This window comes from Homo sapiens, chromosome 11 (genome assembly GCF_000001405.40).
Source record: "Homo sapiens chromosome 11, GRCh38.p14 Primary Assembly".
Classification (NCBI taxonomy): Eukaryota; Metazoa; Chordata; class Mammalia; order Primates; family Hominidae; genus Homo; species Homo sapiens.
Window position 1 is genome coordinate 124,601,110 of NC_000011.10, and position 9,319 is coordinate 124,610,428.

General features: G+C 39.4%; 1 pseudogene; it reads left to right on the forward strand.

The window, feature by feature from the left end:
* Positions 494-1,150, forward strand: OR8Q1P (olfactory receptor family 8 subfamily Q member 1 pseudogene; annotated as a pseudogene).

Genomic DNA, 9,319 nt, shown 5'->3' on the forward strand with positions numbered 1-9,319 from the left:
ATTTCTATAGCAACTAAGCATTTGGAAAATCATTTGCATACACATTATCTCCCTTTATGCTTACAACATGCCTTGGGAGTTGACGTTGTTACTCTTCATTTTATGGATAAGGAAATGACTTGTCACTCGGTAAGTAGTTTAACTATAACCACACTACACTGTACTCTCTAGATTTGGAATAATGTTAGTTTTATATTATCAAAGCCTAGTGAATATTTTGGGATTGCCTATACAAAAAGGGAGATTAAATTTCAGAAGCAAAGTAAGCATCCAAACCCAAGAAGTAAAACATAAAAATTTTCATCTTTAAATATGTGAAAAGCTTATACACAGTGAAAACTCCAGGTCTAGCTCATTTATTCCAACTAATTCGATCTCTGGAACATTCTCTGGCTGGTCTGATTCCTAGAGAACATTAGTAGTAATGGCATGAGTAAAATGCAGGAAACAGCTCAGTCAGGGGAGATGCTCATACCTAGCTCCACCAGGAAAATGGCAGCAGAAAGTCACTCTACGGTGACAGAGTTCATTCTCAGGAAAAAGCCAGCAAGGGCTCCAGCTCCCCCTCTTCTAGGGATCTGTTTGAAAACCGTAGTGGGGGCCCTCATCTTGATCACTCTAGTTTTCCTTAATTCTCAGCTTCACCCTCCCATGTACTACGTCATCAGAAATTTATCATTTATGGATCACTGCAATTGCTCTATTAGTACCCCTAAAATACTGGTGAAGTTTGTGTTAGAGAAGACCATCATCTCCTATGAGGACGGCATGTCACAGCTTTGTAGTGCTTCGTGTTTATATTGTCATGGCCAAGCGTAACATGCGGACCAGCAACTGCTGTCATCACATTTCATCAAGTCAGCTCCCTGCTGGTAGTTGTAGTATTTATATGGAGTTGACTGGTACAACAATAGATATTTTGCCTTGTATTAAAATAGTACTAGTGTGAGTTATTCATCAGTCATACTTCTCTCATGCACTAGCATCTATGATATTGATAGGACAATTTTCTTTTTTACTTGATGCAATATTGTAGTCACTAGATTAACAGTTGTTTCCTACTCCTTTTCTCTCCAGCATCCTCCACATCAGCTTTACAAAGGGCAAGCTCTGGGTTTTTCCCGTAGGTCTGACGCATTCATGCTGTTGCCTTGTCCTCTCTTGGATTGCTTGCTCCAGAGAAAGGCAGGTGCCATGTAGTGAGAACATTCAATCAGCCCTATGGAAAGGGCCATGTGGCGAAGCACTGAGGCCTCCTGCCACACTGAGGCCTTCTGCCAAAAGCCACATGAGTGAGCCATCCAGGATGTGACTCTTCCAATCCCAACTGAGACATCAGATGACCAAAGCCAAGCTCTTGACTGCAACCTTTGAGCAACTCTGAGTCACAGCAACCCAGCTAAGATGCTACCAAATGCCTGACCTGCAGAACCTGGGAAATAATAAATGTTTGTTGTTTTAAGATGCTAATTTTTTTTTTTTTAGATGGAGTCTCACTCTGTCACCCAGGCTGGAGTGCAGTGGCACGATCTTGGCTCACTGCAACTTCCACCTCCTGGGTTCAAGCAATTCTCTGCCTCAGCCTCCCAAGTAGCTGGGATTACAGGTGCCCACCACCATGCCCGGCTAATTTTTTGTATTTTTAGTAGAGATGGGGTTTCACCATCTTGGCCAGGCTGGTCTTGAATTCCTGACCTCATGATCCACCCACCTCAGCCTCCCAAAGTGCTGGGATTATAGGCATGAGCCACCGCACCCAGCCTTAAGATGCTAATTTTTAAAGTAATTTGTTACTCAGAAATAGTGCACATATGAAGAGCTCAAAGTCATTAGTCATCAGGAGAAAAGACAATTAAAGTAACAAGATATCATTTTACAGCAGTAGCCCCAGAGGACCTAGAAATTCTAGACCTGGACGTGTATCCCAACTGAATTTTCCTTTAGGACCATGAGGGGAAATGTATGTTATTTGTGGAAGTAAAATGAGTCTCCATCAATAGGCAAGTGAGTAGGTAAAGTATTTTGCAGCAGTAGAAACAGATTTGCTGTGGACATAACAACATGGATTGACTTTAAAGTGCTGAGTGTTTTTTTATTTATTTTATTTTATTTTATTTTATTTTTTTGAGACGGAGTCTTGCTCTGTCTCCCAGGCTGAGCACAGTGGCGTGATCTCGGCTCACTGCAAGCTCCACCTCCTGGGTTCACACCATTCTCCTGCCTTAGCCTCCAGAGTAGCTGGGATTACAGGTGCCCGCCACCATGCCTGGCTAATTTTTTTGTATTTTTAGTAGAGACGAGGTTTCACCATGTTAGCCAGGATGGTCTCCATCTCCTGACCTCGTGATCTGCCCGCCTCGGCCTCCCAAAGTGCTGGGATTACAGATGTGAGCCGCTGCGCCCAGCCTGAGTGTTTTTAAAAATAAGAAACAGAATGAAATATAACATGGAATATCACTTATGTATATTAAAATTACAAAGCACAGACTTTCAAGTAAGGTGCAATATGTCATGTCATAGCATGGCAGGTGAATGCTCCTGCAGCAACAAATAGAAAAAGCTGTATCAATAACAAAAAGTATGTTTTATGGATATCTGGAAGCTATGAAAGAAATGAGAATGAGAGGAATTGAAATTCCAGAGGAAACAGAACTATTTTGCAGTAAGATAACAAGTTATTTCTGTTTCTAGGAGACTTGGTCCAAGCACAGGGCCTCTGTTGAGAAAAAAATAAACCATCAAAGCTTTTAATGATTCTTACCAGATGGAGTGACAATTAGAAACTTGAGGGACTTCACACACATGGCCAGTTGTCCCCAGAGGACATAGACTGAGCGCTAGAGTCATGTGAACTGAAGACCAGAACAGAAGTTTCTAAAATACAAAGTGAAAACTGCTACACTCTGTGATGCTTAGAAAACGAAGACCCTCCAGAGGGACGGGGTCTGCACTGAACTCACTGATCCAAACTCACTGAGCCAGTGTCTAACATTTGCCAGATTTTGAAGCAGTAGGAGGCTAAAGTGCTAAATGGAAATCCTCTAAAGAGGATAATAGAACTTCTCAATCTTTCATAGCTTAAGAGAAAAGACCCAACAGGTTCTCAGTCAAAAACCTGGAAAGGTCAAGCTTAGGAACAGGGAAAACTAACTGTAGACAGAACCTTACTAAAATTCCAACACAGGCCTAACCATGCTCAGTTCCTGGTAGAATTGTAATCAGCTTCTCACCCTATTTACCTAGTAGAAGGGTGAGCCATCTTTAGTGAATGATAGCATCATCTAGAACATCTATGGTTCTTATGGTTTTGTATACACAGTCTTCAGCATACAATGTGAAACTACTAGATATACAAGGAGATGAGACCACATGACCAATAAAGAAGAGAAAAAGTAGACAGTAAAAGCAGATCCATAGACTACCCAGATTCTGGAGTTAGCAATAAGAATTTTAAAATAACTCCGATTAGCAAGATCAAGAAAATATAAGATGGGTGAATTAGATGAAAGTTATGGGCTGGGCGCGGTGGCTCATGCCTGTAATTCCAGCACTTTGGGAGGCGGAGGCAGGTGAATCAGGAGGTCAGGAGTCCGAGACCAGCCTGGCCAACATGGTGAAACCCTATCTCTACTAAAAATACAAAACATTAGCTGGGCTTAGTGGCAGGTGCCTGTAATCCCAGCTACTCGGGAGGCTGAGGCAGGAGAATCGCTTGAACCTGGGAGGCGGAGGTTGCAGTGAGCCGAGATTGCGCCACTGTACTCCAGCCTGGGCAACAGAGTGAGACTCAGTCTCAAAAAAAAAAAAAGAAAGTTATGGATATTTCTGCCAGAAAACTAGGATCTTTAAAAAATAATCAAGCAGAATTTTCTGGAGTGATGATAATGTTCTAATTGTAATGGGGTGTGGATTACACAGGTGTATGCATTTGTCAAACTCCATGTATGCACACCTCAACTTTGTTCATTTCATTGTATGTAAATTTTACCTCTAAAAAAACTGTAAATAGGCCAGTTGTGGTGTCTCATGCCTGTAATCCCAGCACCTTGGGAGGCCAAGGTGGGTGAATTACCTGAGGTCAGGAGTTCAAGACCACCCCGACCAACATGGTGAAACCCCATCTCTACTACAAATACAAAAATTAGCTGGGCGAAGTGGTGGGCACCTGTAATCCCAGCTACTCAGGAGGCTGAGGCAGGAGAATCGCTTGAACCCGGGAGGTGGAGCTTGCAGTGAGCCGAGTCCTTGTGCCACTGCACTCCAGCCTGGGCAATAAGAGCGAAACTCCGTCTCCAAAAAAAAAACAAAAAACCTGTAAATCAACATTGAGGTATAGTTGATGTGCATGCTGAAATGTTTAGGGAAGAGAATATCAATGTCTGCAACTTACTTTGAAATGCATCCAAAAAAAGATTAATTAATGGGTGCACGGAGGCTGGATAGATGAATAACAAAGCAAACCACGTGAAGTGCTAATGATAGAATTAAGGATTGCCAGCATTCACTATAAAATTCTTTCAACCTTGCTATATATATAAAATTACATAATACAATTTGATATAAGAGGATATTATGATTACTAGTATGCCAACAAATTTGACAGTTTGAATGGAAAATGGACAATTTTCTCAAATTTTTAACTTATTAATATAATGGTTTAAAATAGTTCTCAAATTCTTTGACACTCCTTTAAACTGTGTAGCTTAATTCCCTTCCCTGTGGGTATGGGGACTTAATGACTTCCTTCTAGTGAATAGTAAAAAGCAGAAATAGCAGTTGCAACTTCAGAGATTAGGTCATGCAAGGCACTGTCGCTTCCTGTTTGCTTTCTCTCTTGGATCACCTGCTCTGGGAAAACCAGCACCCATGTCACCCTAAGGAGAGGCCTATGCAGTAAGGAACTGAGGCCTACTGCCAACACTCCGCAAGAAACTGAGACTCCCAGCCAGTAACCGCTCAGTGAGTATAGATGTCTGCAGCCCCAATCAACACCTTCACTAGACCCTGAGCCAGAACAGCCTAGCTAAGCCCCTCCCAAATTTCTGATCTGTAGAATATTTGAGATAATAAATTTTTTTTGTTTTAAGCCCTACATTTTGGGGTAATTTTTTATGCAACAATAGAAAGCTAGTGCATTTAAGCTATGTTAAGAGAAACTAGAAAATCTGATTAGTCAGGCCAGGCGCGGTGGCTCACGCCCGTAATGTCAGCACTTTGGGAGGCTGAGGCGGGGGGATCACCTGAGGTTGGGAGTTCGAGACCAGCCTGGCCAACATGGTGAAACCCTGTCTCTACTAAAAATACAAAACTTAGCTGGGCATGGTGGCACACGCCTGTAATCCCAGCTACTCCAGAAGCTGAGGTGGGAGAATCGCTTGAACTCTGGAAGCAGAGGTTGCAGTGAGCCGAGATAGCGCCACTGTGCTCCATCCTGGGCAACAGGGTGAGACTTCATATCAAAAAAAATAAAATAAAGTAAAAGTTAAAAAAAAGAAAATCTGAATAGTCAAATATTGACTAAGGAAATTGAATCCATTACTAAAATTCCACACAAAGAAAATCCCAAGACTAGGTGGTTTCACCTGTAAATTCTGCCAAATATTTAATGAAGAAATAATACCAATACTGCACAAACTCTTACAAGAGGAGGCAGATAAAGAAGAAATACTTCCTAACTCTTTTGGCATGGCCAGCATAACCTGCCAAAGACCTGATAAAAAAGGAAAATTAAATCAAGTTCTTTCTTCTTTTTAAATAGAAATGTAAAAATCCTTAACAAAATATTAGCAAACTGAAACCAGTAAAAAATTTAAAAGGTAATATATCTGAACTAAGTGAGATTTATTTCACAGATGCAAGAGTAATTTAACATTCAAAAATTGATCAATATATCTCATCAAAATAATACACATAAAGATAAAAATCATATGAGCATCTCAAAGTATGCAGAAAAAATATTTTTAAAAATTGAATATTCATTCATATCAAACACACTTAGCAAGCTAGGAATAAAGGAGAACTTCTTTAATGTGAAAAAGAATTCCTACCAATAAAAAAAAAGGAAAAAAACCTACAATGAACATCCTGCTCAATAATAACACTGAAAACTTTCCGCCTGAGAGAAGGAACAAGACAGAGATACCCATTATCACTACTCATATTCAATATTATACTGGATGGCCTAACCAGTGTAATAAGGCAAGAAAATAAATAAAAGGCATAACGATAGAAAGAAAGAAAGAAAGAAAGAAAGAAAGAAAGAAAGAAAGAAAGCTGTGATTTTTCATAAATGATATGGTTGTATAGATTTTTAAAAATCTGAATTAATCTACAAACTATTAGAATCAATAAATGAATTCAATAAGATTGACGTATACAAGATCAGTGTACAAAAATCAGTTGTATTTTCATATGTGAGCAACAAACAATTAGAAAATCAATTTTTTAAAAAATATATGGTTAACAATAGCATCAAGAAACATCAAACACCTAGGAATAAATCCAACAATAGATGTGTAAGACATCTGCACTTAAAACCAAAAGTTGCTACGGACAGAAAGACGTCTTTTTTTTTTTTTTCTTTGAGACAGAGTTTCACTTTTGTTGCCCAGGCTGGAGTGCAGTGGCACGATCTCGGCTCATGCAACCTCCACCTCCCGGGTTCAAGTGATTCTTCTGCCTCAGCCTCCCGAGTAGCTGGGATTACAGGTACCTGTCTCCACGTCCAGCTAATTTTTCGTATTTTTACTAGAAATGGGTTGTCATCATGTTGGCCAGGCTGGTCTCGAACTCCTGACCTCAGGTGATTCACCCACCTTGGCCTCCCAAAGTGCTGGGATTACAGGTGTGAGCCACTGCACCCGGCCTCAGAAAGAAGTCTTAAGCAAATGGAGGGATATGCCATGTTCATAGATTTGAAGACTAAATGCTGTAAAGAAGGCAATTTTTCCCAAATTAAGCTGTAAATTAAAGTCACAATCAAAAATTCCAGCAGGTTTCTTTCCTGCTGAAATTCAAAAACTGATGGTAAAATTCATGTAGAAATGCAAAAGATCCAAAATAGCCAGAGCAATCCTGAAGAACAATAAAACTGGAAGATCTACACTACAGGTGCCAAGACCTACTATAAAGCTATACTAGCTAAGATATTGTAGTGTTGGCAAAAAAAAAAAAAAAAAAAAAAAGACATTGTCAGCTGGAACACAGTCACCTGATTTATGACCATGACAACACTGCACTGCAATGAGAAAGGAAAGGTCTTACAATAAATTGTGCTGAGTCAGCTGGATAGCCATATGGAAAATAATATTTCTTGACTCATATCTCATACCATATGTTAAAAAAAATTATAGATGAACTGCAGACCCAAATGAGAAAGATAAAACAAAAATATTTTGGAGAACACCTAGGAAACATTTTTCATGGTATTGTAATTAATAACCAATTGCTTCTTAAACAGAATACATATAGCACTATCCATAGAAAAAAATGATACATTGACTGTATTAAAATTAGAAATTCTGGTCATCAAAAGACACCATTAAGAGAATGAAAAGGCAACAAGTGGAGTGGAAGAAGATATAAATAAAACATATTGCTAGCAATGGTCTCACATCCAGAATATTTGAAAGAGTACTACAAATCAATAAGCAAAAGACAGACAACCCAACAGAAAAACAGGCAAAAGACTCAGACGTACACCCACATCCATCCACAAAAGAAGATATCCAAATGGCCGAAGTAGCCAACTTCATTAGTCAACAGAGATATTCAAGTTAAAACCACATTGCATTACTACTATACACCTTCCAAAATGGCTTAAAAAAAATTTTAATTCCAAAAGTGTAATGTCAAGGATGTGCAGCAACTAGGATTTTCATAAGCTGTTGGTGAAAGTGTAAACTGAAACAACCTCTTGAAAAACTATAGAGATAAACATATGCATAGCATTATGACCTAGCAATCCCACCCCTCAATATGTACCCAACATAAGTGCATACATATATTCACCAGGAGACACATATTAGGATGTTCACAGCAACAGTATCTCATAACATCCAGAACCTGAAAACTCAAATATCTGTCAGCTTATGAATGGATAAACAAATTGTTATATATCTACACAGAGGAAACGCATTTCTGGTACATGCAACATGGTGAATCTCAAAAATATGTTGAGCAGAGAATCCAGACACATAAACACATGCACATGATTCCATTTACATAAAGTACAAAAACAGGCAATGAAATGGATGATTCTCATAAATATGATGTGGAGCAAAAGAAGCCAGACACAAAAGAGTAAATACACAAGATTCCATTTTCATAATGTATAAAAAAGCAAAACTAATCAATTAGAAGTTTATATAATGCTTACCGTTTGGAAAAGCTGGAAGAGAGGAGCACAGAGGTGGTTTCTGGGGTGCTCGTAATGTTCTGTTTCTTGATCAGACGAGTATTTATTAAACTGCATCCTTATGGTATGTGAATTTTTCTCTCGTTTTTTGGTCTTTTTAATTTTTTATTTCAATCGCTTTTGGGGTACAAATCGTTTTTGGTTACACGGATAAACTGCATAGTGGTGAGGTCTGAGATTTTAGTGTACCCGTCACCCAAGTTGTGTGCACCGTACACAATACTAAGGTGTGTACATTATTTCTCAATAAAAATGTATTTTTAAAAAGTAAAAGGATATGCATGCATACAAACTAATAATAAACATTTGGCAAAAACATGCCTAATTAAAAGATACAGAAATGTGGTGTGGGGAGGGTAATGGGGAATAGAAATAAAGGGTCCCTTCTGCTGCCCCATGACCCATACACGCCAGTTAGCCCACGCGGGGCAGCTCTGAATCCAAGTTGGCCTCTAGCCTGTGGGATGGGGAGAGAGGTAAGCCCAGCCCAAACATTTGTGGCCTAGGAGAAAAAAGTTCAAATACAGATCCACATACCATATATCTAAAATATTAAAAGTTATAAACCAAGTTAACAAACTGTTAAATAAAATATGTTATTCTTGCTCACCTAGACATATATAGACAAACACACCCCAGCTTCATAATGATCAGGAATGCCAGATTCAAATTTAGAATCCTCAGACTCTCCCAAGCCCCTGGCCCAATCTTCTCTTCCCAACTCAGCTAACACCCACATTGCAAAAAACCTCAGAATTGCATGTGTGGACACCCCAAGATTTATAAATTGCATCCAAACCCTGACAACCAGCCATTCCTTGGGCCTAGAAGTGCACACCAGCAGCACAATCTTCCCTTGGGCAGTTGCCCCTGAAAAAAAGGCCCACACAGGTCTGGGAAGCA